Source organism: Homo sapiens, chromosome 14 (genome assembly GCF_000001405.40).
Source record: "Homo sapiens chromosome 14, GRCh38.p14 Primary Assembly".
NCBI classification, from domain to species: Eukaryota; Metazoa; Chordata; class Mammalia; order Primates; family Hominidae; genus Homo; species Homo sapiens.
The window spans coordinates 23,346,311-23,366,057 of record NC_000014.9 but is presented as its reverse complement, the minus strand read 5'-3'; the positions used below and the strand labels follow the sequence as shown (position 1 = coordinate 23,366,057).

Sequence of the window (19,747 nt, the reverse complement as noted above, 5' to 3'; positions counted from 1 at the left end):
GGCCTTTCTTTCCCTTCCCAGAGACACCTGGGAGCTGCCCCCAAGCTTTGGGGCGCCCCGCGGGGCCCTGCCAAGGGTGCGTGTGAGAGAGGGCGGCGGAGCCGGCGCCGGGTGCCAGGGGCCGAGGGTGGGAGCGGGAGCTCGTGGCCCTGCGCCCTGGAGCCGAGGACTGGAAGGGGGCTGGGCCCCTCCGCCGCCTGGGCGCAGGCCGCGCGTCGGGAAGGCAGTCCCGCCTGTTCCAGGGGTGCCTGCGTGCTGGTTGCTGCTGCCCGGGGCGAGGCGCCGTAGCGGCGACCTCAGACCCCCGGGCGCGCTGAGTGAGTGCGCGCGTGAAAACCGCCGCACCGCCGGGGGTGCGAGTGTCTGGGCCGAAGCGGCCACTCCAGCGACCCAGCCCCACGGCCACGCTCTCGGGGGCCTTTGGCTCCAGGCAACTTGGGGCAAGCGTCTCAGTTCTCGCTCTCCCTTCCTCCCAGCGGGGTCGCCGCAGACCCCAGCCCTGGGAGCACCGCTCTGCAGCGCGGCCGGCGGGTGGAGACGGTTGGCCCCTAAACTCGCTCGTCCAGCCCAACCGCCCCGGCGGCTTCTCCCAGCCCTCGAGGCTCTCCTGAGCGGCCTGGAGAGGCGTCGAGCGCAGCCCAGCGCCCGCCTGCTCACCCGCCCCGGCCCGGGAAGGGAATTTTCGGATCCTGCGAGCCCGGGGCGCCCCCGCGGCCTAGGGCGGGCAGCTCCCGGGGCCTGGCCGAGCCGGTGGCGCCCGGGAGGCCGCGGGGACAGCACGCAGCGCGCGCCCTTGGATGCCGTCCCGCAGCGACGCCCCGGCCCGCCCCGCTCCTCCTCCTGCCTGGCTAGCCTGCCTCTCATTTGGGAAGTTTTGTGGGTTTTCTTTCTCCTCCTCCAACCTTGGCGGAGGCCACGACTCAGGCGCCACAGCTGGGGGCTAGAGGCCGCGGACCATGGTGCGGGGCAGCCACCGCTGAAGTCAGCAAAACCGAGCCTGGCCTGAGGCAGGCTGCGCGGGAGGCCAAAGCCATGGCCATTGCCACGTCGGTGAGTCCACCAGGGAGTGGAGGCTGCCGGGGAGAGACCTCCACGGCCTGCCCTGCGCTCCTGTCACTTTATTTCTGCCCTCTCTTTGTCTCTCTCCTTGGTCCCTTTCTTCTCCAGGAGGCTGTGTCCCCCTCCTCTCACTTTTGTTTCCCTTCTCCCTCTCACTCCTCATCCCCTGCTCCTCCTGGCTCCGGGCTCGCCCCTCTTCCCCGCCCCCTCCCCATTCTCCTTTTTCTTCCTAGAGGCTGCGCCTGAATGGAGGGGAAGGGGCAAGCGTAGCCCGAGTCCTATCTGCTCCTTTTGGGCGGGAACAGATGGCCACTGGTGGTTGGCAGAGGCTTGTGGTTGGGAGGCAAGTAAAAGGTTTGGAGGGGGCTGAAAGGACCTAGTGGCTCACGGAAAACGGAAAACGAGAGGCTGAACGACCCCAGGAGGCCCATCTCGAGACGAGGGATAAGGAAAAAAGGGAGATAGAGCAAAGGAGGGAGATCAAGAAAGAGAAGACAGAGGGAGGAGGGGAGGTGATGTCAGCCAGAGCCTCAGGCCACTTTCCAGGGATCGGGACAAAGGGAGGAGACAGCTGGCATGATGGGACAGTGGGAGGAGGCCTCCCAGAGAGCACAGAGGCTCTCTGCCACCTACATTAGGCTGGCCATTCCCTCACCAGTCAGCTGGGCTGCTGGGGGATAGAGCAGGAGTGGTCACACCCATCATCAATCAGTCCATCAACAACTCTGTCCTGCAATGGCAGGGCCCAGAGGCTTGGCTCCATTGGACAGAACTCAGTCCTAACACCGGGAGGAGCGCTCTACAGCCCCACCTCTGCTTTCTGTTCTACAGTCTATGCAGTCTGAATCCAGGCAGCTTTGTTCCCTTTCCACCCTCTTCTAGGTCCTGCCTAAGATTCCCAGGGAAGCGAGGCCGTCACCTGCTTTCTGTTCCCTTCTCAGTGGGGACTCTCGGAGAGAGACTGGAAAGAGAAGCACAGAGCCACCCAATGTCCTCCCATACCCTTTGAGGACAGGTTCAAGTTTGGTTCTTTCTCAGACCAAACTCCATTTTTTTTTTTTTTTTGAGACAAGGTCTCACCCTGTCACCCAGGCTGGAGTGCAGTGGCACAATCACGGCTCAATGCAGCCTCGACCTCCTGGGCTCAGGTGATCCACCTACCTCAGCCTCTTGAGTAGCTGGGACTACAAGCACGCACCACCACATCAGCTTTTTGTATTTTTTGTAGAGGCAGGGTTTCGCCATGTTGCCCAGGCTGGTCTCAAACTCCTGGGCTCAAACAATCCATCCGCCTCAGCCTCCCAAAGTGCTGAGATTACAGGCATGAGCCACCGCACCTGGCCCCAAATTCCTTTTAGTTCCTCAATCTGTAACGATGGCCAGGAAACCCTAGCTCAGAGTGGGGAAGGAGGCCCTCTGGAGATAGAGTACCTCTGGGAGTACTCTGGCATAGAGATACTGGTTCAGAAGCCAGCTGGTCAGCTTTGTAGTCCCAAGAATGTAGATTTTTCTTTTTGGGGTCAGGGGCATTTATGCTAATCAAACTCACAGGATTCTAATAACAGCTATTATTTATTGAGCATTTACTGCACCTGGCCCTGTGCTGCGCTTTGTCATAGTTTCTTTATGCGTTATCTCATGCAACTCTCACAACTACCCTGTGAAGGTAGTATTGTTATTATCTGAAAATGGATATGCGCATATGGAATTCTACAGAGAAGGAAATTGAGACTCAGAAAGGTTAAACAATCTGCCCAAAGGAACCTGGCTAGAAAGGGACAGACCTGGCTGGGCGCAGTGGCTCACACCTGTAATCCCAGCACTTTGGGAGGCAGAGGCGGGCGGATCATGAGGTCAGGAGATCAAAACCATCCTGGCTAACACAGTGAAACCCCGCCTCTACTAAAAATACAAAAAATTAGCCGGGCGTGGTGGTGGGCGCCTGTAGTCCCAGCTACTCGGGAGGCTGAGGCAGGAGAATGGCGTGAACCCGGGAGGCGGAGCTTGCAGTGAGCCGAGATCGCACCACTGCACTCCAGCCTGGGCGACAGAGCAAAACTCCGTCTCAAAAAAAAAAAAAAGAAAGAAAGAAAAAGAAAGGGACAGACCTCCAAGCAGTGGGTCGCAACGGTAATCCCAGGTATTTAGGAGGCTGAACCCAGGCATTCGAGGTTACAGTGAGTTATGATTGTGCCACTGCACTCCAGTCTGGACCACAGATCAAGAGCTGATCTCTAAAGAAATATTTTAAATAAAATTTTAAAAGAAAGAGACACAGCCAAGACTCAAGCCCAGGTCTGCCTCTAGAACTGTGCTTTTAATCCCCTGGCTAGATCCAAAAGACTGATTTATAATTTACAACTAAAAAGAAAAGTGCAGCACTAACCGGGAATTTGTGTCATCTGGTTAGCACGTTTCTTTGTGTGGGACAATATCCTTTAGAAACCAAAATATAATCAGAAAATGGTTTGATGAGTTGGGAATCAGGCAAGAAGAGGGGTCAATTTGTTGTTAAAATCACCCAGCCATGAGAGGCCGGATAACCTCACCACCAGAGGGAAACATCAGCTAAGAGGAATATGCACTCCTGCTGACTCTAGCAGGGCATCCTTCTCCCCAGGGTCTGGTGGCAGCCTGCCTGAGATCTTTAACTTTGAGATTTTTTTGCTGAATTAGTCAGTCCGTTTGGCTACCTGGCTAGTAATGCCTAACTAGCTGCTCTCCAACACTACATGTAAGTCACCACTGCCTGGGATCCTACCAGCAAGCATCATCATTTAGCAATCAAAACTGAAGCTGAATGTAATTGTATGTTTTGAGTGGTTTTAGCTTGATTCTACCAAATGACATCATGGAGCAAGAGCACTGCGAAGGGTTATAGCAAAGGGAAATAGGGTATAAGAAGGCTTTCCTATGCGCTTGACTTGCTTTTGAGTTAGGGACCCTCTCAGCCACTGTTACTACTCTTTCTTTTAAGTAGATTCCTACATTTGTAATTGTGGAGAAGCAGTAGCACAAGTGATTGAGAGCGCAGGCTCTGGGATCAAGCAGCTTAGGGTTCAGATTATGCTCCACAAGCTGTGCCAGCGATATGGCATCAGACAAAGTACTAACCTCCCTCTTCCAGTTTTCTTTCCAAAATGGGGTAATGACAGTCCCTCCCTCGTAAGGTTGTTGTGAGAATTAAATGAGATGAGTTGATTAATGCAAAGATTTGCACAGTGTCTGGAAACGTTGTTTGCACTTGGTACCTGTGAGTTATTACCTGAGCCTGTGGCCCTTGATGGAAAAAGCTTATAAGCCCCCACCAGACAGGACTGGAAACAGAATGATACATGTTTCCTTTTGGTTGGCCTGCCAACCCCCTTCACACACACACACAAAGACACACTCTGTCCTGCAATGGAAGGGCCCATTGCTAAATGATGATGCCTGCTGGAAGGATCCCAGGCAGTGGTGACACACACACAAGAATACACACTTTTCTCCATGGTAACCTCAGCCTCTTCTGGTAGAAACTTATTTGCTCAGACTGAGAGCAAAACAATTGCTTTGTTTCTGTTTTCTTTCTTATTATGCCTAGGCACACTGTCTGGACTAGGCCTCTCCCAGTCTCTCAGAATGAGAGGTCTCTGTGGCTGCTTAATCTAACCTTTTGCTAGTGAGGGATAATGACTTGGGAACAGAGAGAAGGTCTATGAGAGACTGTAGCAGGGCTTCACATGTTTTGGAAGACATTCATTCAACATGTGTAATGACCAATTCCAGGTCAGGCCTTATTGCAAGGACTAGAAATATAGCCGTTCCTATGTTCATAGGGTTTACAGTATAAGGGAAGAAATCGATACAAAAGAAGCAAATAGACAAATAGTATAAAGTACGAGGATGGAAACAATAGGTGGAGACAAACAGAGAATGGGGCGGGGAGAAGAGTAAAGAATCGGCCTCTCTGAGGAGAGCTGGTCTAGTTGAAGGAACTGAAAGGAAGAGGGAGAATGCAAGCGGTGAAGCTGGAGAGAAGCTAGGGCCCAGGCAGAAAGCTGCATCCAGAGTTCAGGTTTTTTAGCTTGAGGGAAATGCGGAGCTCCGAAGGGTTCTAAGCAGGGGTGACGTGACCTGAAAGGGGTCTGAAGACCCTTCTCCCCACTCCCACCTCCCCAACCAGACCCAGCTGGCCCGGGCACTGTATGACAACACCGCTGAGTCCCCCCAGGAGCTGTCCTTCCGCCGAGGGGATGTCCTACGGGTCCTGCAGAGAGAGGGCGCTGGTGGACTGGACGGCTGGTGCCTCTGCTCCCTACACGGCCAGCAGGGCATTGTGCCCGCCAACAGGGTGAAGCTCTTGCCTGCTGGCCCAGCACCCAAGCCCAGCCTCTCTCCTGCGTCCCCAGCCCAGCCTGGCTCACCATATCCAGCCCCAGATCACAGCAATGAGGACCAGGAGGTGAGAGTGGGAGCCTCCCCAACCCCAAGCCAGAAGAGCCCCATTCCTCCCCAACTAGCCCCACCCAGGGCCTGCAGCAGGTGGGCAGGAAGAGCCCTGAGGCCACAGCTCTTCACTGCTCTGCGCTGGACGAAACCTGTCTACCAACCTTTCTGAGCTGTGGCCCTCTCGATACAGGGAGAGTTAGAAGGTCTCTAAGCTCCTCGCACTCAGACATTATCTGATCACCGGCCCCTCCGTTCCTCCTGACCCCCCATCTATTTGATCCCTCAGGTGTATGTGGTGCCGCCCCCAGCTCGGCCCTGTCCAACCTCAGGACCTCCAGCTGGACCTTGCCCACCCTCTCCTGACCTCATCTACAAAATCCCCAGAGCTAGTGGGACCCAGCTGGCTGCTCCCAGAGATGCCTTGGAGGTGAGGGCTAGAGGTCCCTGTGTATGTTGGGTGGGAGACAAATGGCCCCAAGGGAGGGTTCATCGCTGAGCTGACAGATGACTGACCACTCCTTTCCGCAGGTCTACGATGTGCCCCCCACCGCCCTCCGGGTGCCCTCCAGTGGCCCCTATGACTGCCCTGCCTCCTTTTCCCACCCTCTGACCCGGGTTGCCCCGCAGCCCCCTGGAGAGGATGATGCTCCCTATGATGTGCCTCTGACCCCAAAGCCACCTGCAGAGCTGGAACCAGATCTGGAGTGGGAAGGAGGCCGGGAGCCGGGGCCCCCCATCTATGCTGCCCCCTCCAACCTGAAACGAGCGTCAGCCTTACTCAATTTGTATGAAGCACCCGAGGAACTGCTGGCAGACGGGGAGGGCGGGGGCACTGATGAGGGGATCTACGATGTGCCTCTGCTGGGGCCAGAGGCTCCCCCTTCTCCAGAGCCCCCTGGAGCCTTGGCCTCCCATGACCAGGACACCCTGGCCCAGCTTCTGGCCAGAAGCCCCCCACCCCCACACAGGCCCCGGCTCCCCTCAGCTGAGAGCCTGTCCCGCCGCCCTCTGCCTGCCCTGCCTGTCCCTGAGGCCCCCAGCCCCTCCCCAGTGCCCTCTCCTGCCCCAGGCCGGAAGGGCAGCATCCAGGACCGGCCTCTGCCCCCACCCCCACCCCGCCTGCCTGGTTATGGAGGCCCCAAGGTCGAGGGGGATCCAGAGGGCAGGGAGATGGAGGATGACCCAGCAGGACACCACAATGAGTACGAGGGCATTCCGATGGCCGAGGAGTATGACTATGTCCACCTGAAGGTGAGCGCCCCTTGGCAGCCCCACCAGGAGGGACCCCAGAGGGACCAAGGGGAGGGGTGTGGAGACCTAGGGCACAGAGGCAGAGCCTCCCTGCCTCCCTTCTGTCCCCCTTCCCTCTACCCTGCAGCCTGGGACCCCAGTACTTGGCCACAACACTTGTACCAGTGCCACACTGTTCCTCCTAGACCCAGCCTGGGGCCACCAGAGCTCTCTGGAGTCAAGGGACTACAACCTCTGATAACAGGAGTGTCCTTCGGAAGGAAGGGGGTCCGGGGAAGGGGCAGAAAGGCCACAGAGGCCACCCCGTCCTGCTCCCCCACCCCGACACTGAGACCTGATCCCCTCCTGCAGGGCATGGACAAAGCTCAGGGATCTAGGCCCCCGGATCAGGCCTGCACAGGGGATCCTGAACTGCCCGAGAGGGGGATGCCGGCGCCGCAGGTGACCCTGGCGGGAATGGTGCTAGAGAAGGGGACAGGGGAGGGAGGAATGGGGACTTGGGAGAAGAACTGAGCCATCAACCGTGGAAGGAAATAGGTTAGGATGGAGTGAGAGTTCACAGGAACCAGGGACAGAGCGGAGGCAAGTTAGAAATCTACAGGAAGGAACTGGACCTTGGAAGAGGATGTTAGGAATTCAGAAAGAGGGGAAAGAATGTGTTGGAGAGGAGTCAGAAAATCAAGCAGCCAGGAGAGCAGAAAGTTTCTGAGTTGTGGGGTCAGAGCTGGGCCTGGGGACTTCTGAGCCTCCTTCCAACTGTGAATTCCTGGGCTCCTAAGAGACCTGGCTTCTAATCCCAGCTTCACTACTGAGAAGCCAGGGGCTTTGAAGCCGTCAGTTAATCTCTCCAGGCCTCAGAAAGTGAGGTGGTTTCCTCAACCCTGCGTAGAATGGTCGCAACACAATAGCTACCATTTATCAGGTATTTACCAAGTGCCAGACCCTGTGCTAGGCACACTGCACGTGTTAGTATTAATCACAGCCACAGTTAACACTCATCTGGTGCTCACAGTGTGAAATGCACTTTGCTAAGCCCTTTCTGTATATTATCTCAATTGACCTTCACTGCAGCCTCATGAGGTACATACTAGAACTGCACTATCTAGTACAGTAGCCACTAGCTACATATGGCTATTGAGCACTCAAGATAGGCCTAGTTCAAATTGAAATATGCTGCAAATATAAAATGCAGCCTGGATTTTACAGACTCAGTATGGGAAAAATCTCAATAATTTTCATGTTGATTATATGTTGAAATTATAACATTTTTATATTTGGAGTTAGATAAAATATATTAGGGTTTTGTTTTTTTTTTAACCACTTTTAATGTGGCTACTAACACATCTAAAATTTCACATGTGGTTCACATTATGTTTATATTGGACAGTGCAGTCCTAGACTCCCTGTTTTAGAGTTAAGGAAACCAAGTTCAAAGCCTTGTCCGAAATCAAGTTTGAGGTTGTTTGAATCCAGATCTATCTGATATCAAGTGTGGGCACTTCACTGCTGCTCTCTCTAGAATCTAAACTTTCCGATGGGCAGAGGTAAGAGCTAAAAGGATCGCCCTTGGGAAGAAAGAGAGGAAGGAGAAAAGAAGTGAGGGAGGAAATGGCACTCATGAGAATGTTCTCTCTGACCACTCCTCTTGCCCTTCAGGAGGCCCTGTCCCCAGGGGAGCCACTGGTTGTGTCCACCGGAGATCTGCAGCTCCTGTACTTCTATGCTGGGCAATGCCAGAGCCACTACTCAGCCCTGCAGGCAGCCGTGGCAGCCCTGATGTCCAGTACCCAGGCTAATCAGCCCCCGCGCCTTTTCGTGCCCCACAGCAAGAGGGTGGTGGTGGCTGCTCATCGCCTGGTGTTTGTTGGGGACACCCTGGGCCGGCTGGCAGCCTCTGCCCCTCTGAGAGCACAGGTCAGGGCTGCAGGTACAGCACTGGGCCAGGCATTGCGGGCCACTGTGCTGGCTGTCAAGGGAGCTGCCCTGGGCTACCCATCCAGCCCTGCCATCCAAGAGATGGTGCAGTGTGTAACAGAACTGGCAGGGCAGGCCCTGCAATTCACTACCCTGCTCACTAGCCTGGCTCCATGAAGGTCCTTTGGCACAGCTCTGCTCCTCCCCTGCCTGCCAAAGCCCCCCTTTAGGCCTTGGGTGGCTGGAAGGCTTTGTTAAGGGACTAGGAGAAATGGGGGTATCTTTCCCCTTTCCTGCCCTTTCTGCTCATCTCAACCTCTCACAGAGGTGTCTTCTCCCCCTAACCTACAGCTTTTTGTACAAGCCATTTTGTGTAAATTATTTATATTTAATATTATTCCCTGCTTTGTCAGGAGCAGGTACTAGGCTCTGGGGCAGTGAGGAACTAGATCCTTCTCTCCTCAGCCTAGGGTGGAGGTCACTGCACTACCACCCACCTCTGGAAGACTGGCTGTGAAAAGTCAGGTGGCAGAAACCTGGGGCCACATAGAGCCTCTCTCTTTTCCTGTTTCTTGGCTCTAGAAGATCAGCACTGCACTGTTAGCTGAGAGTGCGGGCAAGACATAAACTGTCCAGAGTTTGAAGGTTCTCGGAAAGACCGGAGGGCTTCTCCCCACAGAAGGCGGAGAGAGCTGGGGCTCAGACATGGGTGTGCACCTTAATAAACCCTGCTGTCTGCCTCCCTGACTCTGCTTCTTGGGAGCATGGTGAGCAGCCCTGGTGCTCAGCAGCCATACCTATGGGACACACACTACGAAAAGGATGCCTTTAGGGTTTGGGGGAGATTTTACTCCTTTCTTCAACAACTATTCACTGGACAAGTTCTCTGCTCCCATGACGCGCCAGGCACAGTTCTGCAAGTATATTGTGAATGTATTGTTCTAGTGGGATACACAAATAAGTCAGTTAAAATACATAAATAAAAACATAAACCTGCCATAGATTCGACATTTGCTGGTGATGGACGTCGGCAGGATGATTTGAAGAAACTAACTAGATGAGGGGAGAGGGCAGTGAAGGAGACTTTAGACAGGATGGTTGGGAGGTGAGATCTGAACTGAAACCCAGAGGAGGAGAGTCTGAGGACTAGTGTTCCCAGAAGGCAGATGCCGATGACTGACCTGAGGGCCTTCCTCCAAGACTTCATTGTCATATGATGTCATTAGAGAGGTGTCAATGTGGAGAGAAGCTGACCACATAAGGGCCTTGAAATGTGCCATCCTGGAGAGGCCACCCCAACTAAAGGCCCAGCCTCAGCTTTGCACCACAGGATAGCCCTGGCCAACTGGAGACTGCTGCTGGCCAGTCTAGGCACCCTCTTCCTTAGGTGACACCAAGAGGGTATAGGCCTTTTCACTTGGCTTCCCAGGTAGATCATCTCAGGATGACCTGCTCATCATCCTTCTGGACAAACCATTTTCTGGAGGATCCGCGGTTGCAGATGAATGCAATGTGTTGAAAGGTCAGTCTTCAGGACTTTGGTGAAATTGATAAGACCGTGGCTTAGATAGATCACGCTAGCCATTTACCACAAGGGAAAACATCCAAGCTACAAATCAATTGCTTCAGTTCTGCTTTCCCAAGATATTACCATGGCATGATGACTGGATTGGGGGCATAATCATAGTCTGTTGGCACCCCTGCACATTTGCCTCCTCCCCTTTAGGTTCCTTTCTCATCTCACTCTCAAAGAAAAATGCACTGTCAGATTCTGGGGCCAACAAAATTCACCCCCATGTGTTGAAGTCTATCGTCCATCATCTTCCAAACAGAATTTCAAGAGATTAGCCTGGAATTAGAGGTTTCAATTCAAGTCTCTGATCTGCCATGTAGTTGTGCATCCATGGGTAAATCATGCCAGTCCCTCTGAAGTCCTGGTTTCATCTTCAATATTAGCATGATCATAATGGTCTTACAGGGTTATTGTGAGGACCTAACAAGAAAATGCATGTGAACAGCCCCACAATGTATAAATTAAGTGATTATTATTCCAGGACAGACACAAGGATGCAGACGATAAATCCCCAAGGAATATTGGCTATACAGCACCATAGTAAAACCTGAAGAGATGCTGAAATGAGTTGGGAGAGGGGAAGTGGTAGGAGGCTGCTTGATGCATTAGCAAAGAAATGTTTCGGAGGGATGCAGTGACTCGCACCTGTAATCCCAGCACTTCGGGAGGCTGAGGCCGGAGTACGGCTTGAACTCAGGAGTATGAGGCCAGCCTGGGCCACACAGTGAGACCCTGTCTCAACAAAACATCAAAAAATTAGCCAAGTGTGGTGGCACATGCATGTAGTCCCAGCTATTCAGGAGGCTGAGGTAGGAGGATTGCTTGAGCTGGGGAGGTGGAGACTGCAGTGAGCTGTGATCAAGCCACTGCACTCCATCCTGGGTAAGACAGTGAGACCCTGTCTGAAGAAAAGAGTTTCCCATACGTGGAAAATTTCTGAACAGAGACAAGTTAAAAGTGTGGTTCAGTGGAGAGAAGGGGGAAAGATTTCCCGGCTGACAATGATAGAACACTGCTTTCTAGCCCTTACCTAGGATTAGAGAATAAAGTACCTATCAGGTAACAAATCTCTTAGAGATGTGTGTCTCTACCTTTAATGTATAATACCTATGCCTGGAGATCTGGATAAAATACAGATTATGATTCAAGGGTCTGGGTGAGGCTTGGATTCTGCATTTCTAACAAGCTCCCAGGAATGCTGCTGGTCCATGAACCACACTTTGAGTAGCAATTCTAGAGGTTAGGGAAGACTCCTGTGTAGCAAAGATGTTTAGGCTGAGAGCTGAAGGATGAGAAAAATGTGACTAAGAAGCTTTTTAGGTGCAGGAACCAGCTTGTTCAAAGGCCTCGTGGCGCTGGGAAAACTAGAAGAAGGTCTGTGGCTGGAGTGCAGAGAGTTTGGGGAAAGAAGTGAGATGGAACTACAGACAGCATGTGACCAGGCATGTAGAACCATGTATGAGGTATCTAGATTTTTAATATTCACTTTGACAGTGAGGAGACACCACTGAAGGCTGGTTAGCAGGAAAGATACATGATCAGATCTGTATTTTGAAAAGATCATTCTATCTGACTATAAATGACATATGGGTGATAAGGAGGTATAAACAAAGCGGACGCTGAACACCAGTTAGGAATTAGGGAGCTAAAGTGGTCTTTGCAACAGGTAGCTTGACTAATAATGGTAGAGATGGAGAGATGTGGGATGTCTGAGAATATATAGGAAGTAAAATGGGCAGAATTTTGTAAAGAATTCAACATGGATAAGGAAGAGAAAGCTCTAAAGGCTGTTGCCTGAGCATTTGGCCACAATGCGATGTTGAGGGTGCCATTCGCTGCAGAAAAAAGCAGTGGAAGCCAACCAAGTTATGGGGGAAAAGCAAAAATTTCGTCTTGAACATATTGAGTTTGAGGTCCCTGTGAGTCATCCAAGGTGAAGGTCAAATAAGAGGTGGCTTCATAGGTCTGGAGCTCAGAACAGAGGTGGAAGCTGGAGATGTCAGTCTGGGCGTCAGGTTTGTATTGTTTGTATGGGTGGTGATTGAAGCTGTGGGCATAGGTAAGATCCCAAAGTGGAGACAGTGTGAGATGAGAGGAGGGCCTAGGACTAAGTCTGTGAGGATTCCAGACACTGAACCATGGTGTCTAAATGATACAGACGGGAATGGCCCTAGAAGCCAGCACCACAGCCTCATCACTACCAATACAGACCCCTCCTGCAGTTGCGTCACCCCGCTGGACTTCAATCATTGCCTCAAGAACCGGGAGGATAATGGCCTGCCCATGCTCAGCACCAATGCCATGAGCTGGAAGACGATTTCTGCAATGGAGAAAAGGGGAGCAAGAGAGACTCAGCAGCAAAGGAAGAGAGTGTTTAGAGGAAGAGGGGTCAACAGTGCCAAATGCTGTTGAGAAATGGAGATTCAAACAGGATGGGAGTGATGAAACCCAAGAAAGTGGTCTCCTTGTAGAGGACTGAAGCTAGGGCTGATACAGGGCCAAGACAGTCTTCCATATGCATAAGTTGTACTGTAATAGCCAGTTTACATGTCTGTCTCCCTGGAGTAAAGGTCTCCAAAGTGGAACTTGTCCACCCTGTTATCCTTAAAGTCTAGTGCAAGTCCTGGAACGTAGTGGACACTTAAATTTTACTGATTAGTGAATGGGTGAATGAATGAATGAATGAATGATGGCAAATGATTGGAAGCAGAGGAAGAATCTCTGGCATCTGCCTGGACTAGCTACTATCCTTCAGCTTTTTTTCTTTTTTACCGCAATGGCCCGCAGACCCAGGAAAGAGACGACAGAGCCCCCCTTCCCTCCCTCCCCTGGGCCCTGGCCCCCCTTCCTCTCTCTGACGAAGAGTCTGGACCGAAGGTTCTGCTGACGTGGGAAGGGGAGGAGAGTCTAGAGGAAGGGGAGGGGAAAGCAGCGCAGAGATCGCAGAGACCAAGGAGGCGCCCGCGGCTGCAGAGCTGCAGAGCGGGATCTCTTCGAGCTGTCTGTGTCCGGGCAGCCGGCGCGCAACTGAGCCAGAGGACAGCGCATCCTTTCGGCGCGGGCCGGCAGGGCCCCTGCGGTCGGCAAGCTGGCTCCCCGGGTGGCCACCGGGACCCCCGAGCCCAATGGCGGGGGCGGCGGCAAAATCGACAACACTGTAGAGATCACCCCCACCTCCAACGGAGTAAGTGCCCGAGCCCCAGGTGGCGACGCCATCCTCTCCCAGCACCCCCGCCCCCGCGGAGCGTCTGGCATTTTCCTCCTGCGCATCCCTCGCCCCTGACTGCCTTCCTAGCCCTCCCTCCCACCTGCCCCCTGCCCTTGCTCTGCGGTTTCCTCCGCTTCACCCTTCTCCTGCCACCCCCTGCCCCCCAACAGCAGGTCGGGACCCTCGGAGATGCGGTGCCCACGGAGCAGCTGCAGGGTGAGCGGGAGCGCGAGCGGGAGGGGGAGGGAGACGCGGGCGGCGACGGACTGGGCAGCAGCCTGTCGCTGGCCGTGCCCCCAGGCCCCCTCAGCTTTGAGGCGCTGCTCGCCCAGGTGGGGGCGCTGGGCGGCGGCCAGCAGCTGCAGCTCGGCCTCTGCTGCCTGCCGGTGCTCTTCGTGGCTCTGGGCATGGCCTCGGACCCCATCTTCACGCTGGCGCCCCCGCTGCATTGCCACTACGGGGCCTTCCCCCCTAATGCCTCTGGCTGGGAGCAGCCTCCCAATGCCAGCGGCGTCAGCGTCGCCAGCGCTGCCCTAGCAGCCAGCGCCGCCAGCCGTGTCGCCACCAGTACCGACCCCTCGTGCAGCGGCTTCGCCCCGCCGGACTTCAACCATTGCCTCAAGGATTGGGACTATAATGGCCTTCCTGTGCTCACCACCAACGCCATCGGCCAGGTGAGGCGGCCAGGCGGGCCGCGGGTCTGGGGGCGGGCAGAGAGCGGCGAGGGCGGGGCCTCACGCCCGCTGCACCCTTCTCACATCCCCAGTGGGATCTGGTGTGTGACCTGGGCTGGCAGGTGATCCTGGAGCAGATCCTCTTCATCTTGGGCTTTGCCTCCGGCTACCTGTTCCTGGGTTACCCCGCAGACAGGTGAGGGCTGTCGTGGGGGCAGGGCTGGTAGAAAGGAGGGGGTGCTAGGGAAGCTAACCCAAGCAGCGGGCGTTTACAGGAGGTCGAAGACGATTCGCTGGACTCTGCAGTCTTCTCTGGACTTCTATTCAATGGTCTATCCATGTCTCAACTTCACTCTCCATCAAGAAATACCCCTTCCCTACCTCTTCCGCGCAAGGGAATGACTCGACCTCTATGGACTATTAGTCCCATTCCCACTAATTAGTGGCCCCCTATCCGTGAATCAATGGCCTCATCTCCAAAGAGAATAGTCTCATCCCCACTAACAGCCCACATGGACTGTTCGCTCCATCTCAGTGACCTCATTCCTGAAGATCAATATGTTAATTCCTAAACACCAACAGCTCCATTCCCACTGATCAATAGTTCAACTTCACAAACAAATTACCCCATTTCTGACCAGCGACCCCTCCCCTACAAGTCAACTAACTATCTCCAAAGACAATATCCTCAGACCCAGTAACCCACAGTCCCATGCCTGCCACCAAATGACCCAACGCTCTGTAGGGGAATAGCCCATAGATTAGCAGTCATACCCTCATGGATCCTCAGGGCTTTGAGATCCTCTCACCGAAATCCCCGTTTCCATGAGTCGGTAGCTTCACCTCTAGAGATCAACAACCCAATCCCAGCAACCAATAACTCTTCCCACAGATCAAAAATCTCATCTCTGATTCTGGTCACCTTCACCACTGACCAGATGCTCTCACTGCACTAAACTTCCGATTAGACTCAGCCCCATTGATCCACAGTTCCATCCAAGTGGATTAATAACTCAACTTCTGTGGATCAAAGCCATCCCAACATTCAATAGTCCAGTTCCTTAAAATCAATACCCATCCTCACTGCCCAATAGTCACACACCTCTGTGGGCCAATGATCCGAAACCCACAGGTCAATAGCCCATCCCTATGCATCAGTGGCCTCATTGCCACAGACCAGTAGCCTCATTCCTATGGAACCATGGTTTCATCCCCAAAGATCAATAATTTGGTCTTCTAAAATCTGTAGCCTTCAGCACATTAACCAATAAGCCCATCCTCATGGAAAAATGCCCCACCCCATTAGATCAATAGCCTAACTCCCAGGGATTGGTGCCCCTTTTGCAATGACCAGAGGCTCCCTATCTTCATCTCCATAGATCAATGGTCTTATCCCCAAAGATCAATAGCCCAGCCTCCAAGAATCAGTAACCATGTCTTCACTAACTCATAGTTAGTGACCATAATCACTTACCAATAGTCTCATCTCCCCTGGTCTGTGACCTTATCCTTACTGATTATTCCCATGGATTAATAGATTCATCCCACTGATCAATAGTCCTACCTTATGGATTAATACACCCATGTCTATGTCCCCACTGATCTTTCTTTTTTCTTTCTTTTTTTTCTTTTTTCTTTCTTTTTGAGATGGAGTCTCGCTCTGTTGCCCAGGCTGGAGTGCAGTGGCATAATCTCAGCTCACTGCAACCTCTGCCTCCCAGGTTCAAGCGATTCTCCTGCCTCAGCCTCCCGAGTAGCTGAGACTACAGGCACCTGCCACCACACCTGGCTAATTTTTGTATTTTTAGTAAGGATGGGGTTTCACCATATTTGTCAGGCTGGTCTTGAACTCCTGACCTCGTGATCTGCCAGCCTCGGCCTCCCAAAGTGCTGGGATTACAGGTGTGAGCCACTGCGCCCAGCCTGACCATTCTTAATGTATTAATAGACCAATGTCCCACCTCCATGGAACAATGGCCTCATCTCCAAAAATCAATTACTCAGTCCCCTAATATCATTGGCTTTACCTTCACTGACCAGTAGTATCCTCATGCACAAGTGGCCAATGGCCTCCCCTCCACAGGTTAATAGTTCCAACTCCGTATATCAATGAACCCCCCTCCCACATCTCCTCTGAACAGTCTGAGCAAGATAAGCTCCAGGCCCACTGACCATTAGCTCTGTTCCTAAGGATGAATGGTCCCAAATCCCCTAAGCAATATCCCATCCCCTCTGTTGAGTGATGTCACATCCATTGACAAGTGCCCTAATCTCTGACCAATAGCCCAAGAGTCAATGTTCCCACCTCTTAAAGAACCACAACCACACCCCAGTGCCCAGTAGCCAGGCATCACCCACCCATGGTCCCCATCCCTCCCCATCTTCTCAAGCCTCTGTCCAACTCTTGCTCCCAGAACTTCATTCTCATACCTCTAGCTCTGAAGTGTGCAGCTGGGTCTTACCCAGCAACTTTCCCACCACCAGAGAGTCTGGGTGACCAGAAGCCCTTCCCACTTTCTAGATTTGGCCGTCGCGGGATTGTGCTGCTGACCTTGGGGCTGGTGGGCCCCTGTGGAGTAGGAGGGGCTGCTGCAGGCTCCTCCACAGGCGTCATGGCCCTCCGATTCCTCTTGGGCTTTCTGCTTGCCGGTGTTGACCTGGGTGTCTACCTGATGCGTAAGTGGCACCCTCCCAGAATTCCCTCCCTTGGGTCTCATGCCTACCTGCCTGCATCGCCAGGCCATCCTCACTGCCCCCTAGGCCACATTTCAGCTGCCTAGAATCTCAGCTATCTTTCTGCCCAGGCCCCCTTGAAGAATCCAGGGCTCTTGCTTCTCTCTACACCTATCTCCCCCTCCCGACAATCTTTAAAGTCTTTGTCCTGGACTTACTGCTGCCAAGGAATAAGGTGCTATTCCCCTGATAGCAGTAAGTCCAGGGACAAGGATTGTCCCTAGCTGTGTGACCTTGGACAAGGGTTGATGTGAAGGTCAAATAAGAGGCCTGATGGGAAAGGGCCTATAAATTGGAAATGTTGAACACTCACCCAGGACTCTGGCCCTAGAGCCCTCCTAGGTTTGAGCAGGAGAGGAGAGAGGGCTGAACAGTCTCCCCAGTCCTTGCCACCCAGAGGTTAGCAAGGGAGGCAATGGCTGCAGCCTCCACTCTGGGTCTGACCTCTCTCTCTGTCCTCCTCCCTCCCTCTTTCTTCTTCTCTCTTATGCCTTCTTCCTCCCTGGCCTCCCTCTCCTCTCTCCACCCCTGCTGTATCTCCAGGCCTGGAGCTGTGCGACCCAACCCAGAGGCTTCGGGTGGCCCTGGCAGGGGAGTTGGTGGGGGTGGGAGGGCACTTCCTGTTCCTGGGCCTGGCCCTTGTCTCTAAGGATTGGCGATTCCTACAGCGAATGATCACCGCTCCCTGCATCCTCTTCCTGTTTTATGGGTCAGTATTACCCTTCACCTGTCGTCTGGCAATTCCCATCTCTGCCTCCAAACTAGCCCTAGCCCGGAGACCCCTCCTCTTCTCCAACTACCCCTGGTCCAGGCCTACCCCAGCCCCAGTCCCTCAGAGGTGCACATTTCCCACCCCTAGATCAGGAGAAGGGAGGCCTCACAGTATACCCCTTCCCCCCTGCCCCCAGCTGGCCTGGTTTGTTCCTGGAGTCCGCACGGTGGCTGATAGTGAAGCGGCAGATTGAGGAGGCTCAGTCTGTGCTGAGGATCCTGGCTGAGCGAAACCGGCCCCATGGGCAGATGCTGGGGGAGGAGGCCCAGGAGGCCCTGCAGGGTAAGAGACAGGGATCCCTGTGAGTGTTGCCTCACTTGCACACATGATGGTGCCCTCTGCATGGCTGTAGCTGTGCCACCTTCTCCCAGGGTCCCCACCACCCATGTGGGAGGATCCTGGGATCTCAGGGTTTTCTTCTGACAGCTCCTCTCTCTCTCCCAAAGACCTGGAGAATACCTGCCCTCTCCCTGCAACATCCTCCTTTTCCTTTGCTTCCCTCCTCAACTACCGCAACATCTGGAAAAATCTGCTTATCCTGGGCTTCACCAAGTGAGCCTGGGTGTCTGGGCTGAGGGCCAGGCCAGTAGCTGGAATGGGGGCTGGCTGGGTGGGAAGGCCCGGGGACCCCTGCGGAGGACCATCAGCACTGTAGAAGGCTGCGGGAGGGGATTCAGGCTCTGTTCGTTGCTTCCCCACCCCTTCTCACAGCTTCATTGCCCATGCCATTCGCCACTGCTACCAGCCTGTGGGAGGAGGAGGGAGCCCATCGGACTTCTACCTGTGCTCTCTGCTGGCCAGCGGCACCGCAGCCCTGGCCTGTGTCTTCCTGGGGGTCACCGTGGACCGATTTGGCCGCCGGGGCATCCTTCTTCTCTCCATGACCCTTACCGGCATTGCTTCCCTGGTCCTGCTGGGCCTGTGGGATTGTGAGCATCCTATCTTCCCCACAGTGTGGGCTCAACAAGGGAACCCCAACAGAGGTGCTTCAGACAGGCACAGCCATTTCTTCTGGCACAGGCCTCCCAAGACAAGCCCCAGACCCTGCCCAGCTCTTCCACGAGCCTCCACCTGGCCCCACAGCCCCATCTGCTCTCCCAGTCAATTACTGAATGCCCAGAGCCTGCCCAGCTAGAGCCATGGGAACAGAGAGCCAAGGGGATGACACCCGGGACTAGGCCAGCCTTGACCTCCCCACCTGCATTCATATCATCCCTCTTGCTTCTGCAGATCTGAACGAGGCTGCCATCACCACTTTCTCTGTCCTTGGGCTCTTCTCCTCCCAAGCTGCCGCCATCCTCAGCACCCTCCTTGCTGCTGAGGTCATCCCCACCACTGTCCGGTGAGAGCAGGGGTGCCCCCAGGGGCAGAGCCGGGCCCCCTCGCCTCCCGCTCCCCCACCCCACCCCTGAGGACAGGGCCTGCGGGCTGGAGGAGGGGGGCTGCGGGAGAAGGGCCCAGCAAGGCTACAGCTGTGGGCTGAGCTCCTCCTCTGTCTCCCCCCAGGGGCCGTGGCCTGGGCCTGATCATGGCTCTAGGGGCGCTTGGAGGACTGAGCGGCCCGGCCCAGCGCCTCCACATGGGCCATGGAGCCTTCCTGCAGCACGTGGTGCTGGCGGCCTGCGCCCTCCTCTGCATTCTCAGCATTATGCTGCTGCCGGAGACCAAGCGCAAGCTCCTGCCCGAGGTGCTCCGGGACGGGGAGCTGTGTCGCCGGCCTTCCCTGCTGCGGCAGCCACCCCCTACCCGCTGTGACCACGTCCCGCTGCTTGCCACCCCCAACCCTGCCCTCTGAGCGGCCTCTGAGTACCCTGGCGGGAGGCTGGCCCACACAGAAAGGTGGCAAGAAGATCGGGAAGACTGAGTAGGGAAGGCAGGGCTGCCCAGAAGTCTCAGAGGCACCTCACGCCAGCCATCGCGGAGAGCTCAGAGGGCCGTCCCCACCCTGCCTCCTCCCTGCTGCTTTGCATTCACTTCCTTGGCCAGAGTCAGGGGACAGGGAGAGAGCTCCACACTGTAACCACTGGGTCTGGGCTCCATCCTGCGCCCAAAGACATCCACCCAGACCTCATTATTTCTTGCTCTATCATTCTGTTTCAATAAAGACATTTGGAATAAACGAGCATATCATA

At 54.5% G+C, this 19,747-nt stretch overlaps 2 protein-coding genes across 9 annotated transcripts, besides 2 other annotated features; both read left to right on the top strand.

Moving 5' to 3' along the window:
- Positions 1–885: 885 nt before the first annotated feature.
- Positions 886–9,652, top strand: EFS (embryonal Fyn-associated substrate). 5 transcript variants are annotated; one of them, NM_001277174.2, is made up of 6 exons: positions 886–1,050; positions 5,777–5,917; positions 6,019–6,135; positions 6,364–6,741; positions 7,093–7,182; positions 8,398–9,652. In NM_001277174.2, the coding sequence occupies exons 1-6, from the start codon at positions 1,033–1,035 to the stop codon at positions 8,830–8,832; spliced, it is 1,179 nt and encodes a 392-aa protein (NP_001264103.1). In that variant the 5' UTR covers positions 886–1,032; the 3' UTR covers positions 8,833–9,652. The 5 variants fall into 5 exon arrangements, with proteins under 5 accessions (NP_001264103.1, NP_005855.1, NP_115835.1 ...); NM_005864.4 differs by adding an exon at positions 5,225–5,503 and having other exon boundaries at positions 6,019–6,741; NM_032459.3 differs by having other exon boundaries at positions 6,019–6,741.
- Positions 1,788–2,288: an enhancer, noted in NCBI's record as "H3K4me1 hESC enhancer chr14:23832979-23833479 (GRCh37/hg19 assembly coordinates)". NCBI's record gives its function as "activates a minimal SCP1, AML or CMV promoter by ChIP-STARR-seq in naive H9 embryonic stem cells {active_cell/tissue: H9 hESC(naive)}" and the evidence as "EXISTENCE:reporter gene assay evidence [ECO:0000049][PMID:30033119]".
- Positions 2,289–2,789: an enhancer, noted in NCBI's record as "H3K4me1 hESC enhancer chr14:23832478-23832978 (GRCh37/hg19 assembly coordinates)". NCBI's record gives its function as "activates a minimal SCP1, AML or CMV promoter by ChIP-STARR-seq in naive H9 embryonic stem cells {active_cell/tissue: H9 hESC(naive)}" and the evidence as "EXISTENCE:reporter gene assay evidence [ECO:0000049][PMID:30033119]".
- A 3,518-nt stretch (positions 9,653–13,170) lies between the features above and the next one.
- On the top strand, positions 13,171–19,747 carry SLC22A17 (solute carrier family 22 member 17). Of its 4 annotated transcripts, none has more exons than NM_016609.7 (10): positions 13,171–13,412; positions 13,607–14,110; positions 14,203–14,306; positions 16,632–16,786; positions 17,387–17,552; positions 17,752–17,897; positions 18,062–18,167; positions 18,327–18,544; positions 18,846–18,957; positions 19,122–19,740. In NM_016609.7, the coding sequence occupies exons 1-10, from the start codon at positions 13,317–13,319 to the stop codon at positions 19,408–19,410; spliced, it is 1,896 nt and encodes a 631-aa protein (NP_057693.4). In that variant the 5' UTR covers positions 13,171–13,316; the 3' UTR covers positions 19,411–19,740. The 4 variants fall into 4 exon arrangements, 3 of the variants coding, with proteins under 3 accessions (NP_057693.4, NP_065105.3, NP_001275979.1); NM_020372.4 differs by having other exon boundaries at positions 18,327–18,598; NM_001289050.1 differs by lacking the exon at positions 13,171–13,412 and having other exon boundaries at positions 17,512–17,552; positions 19,122–19,747.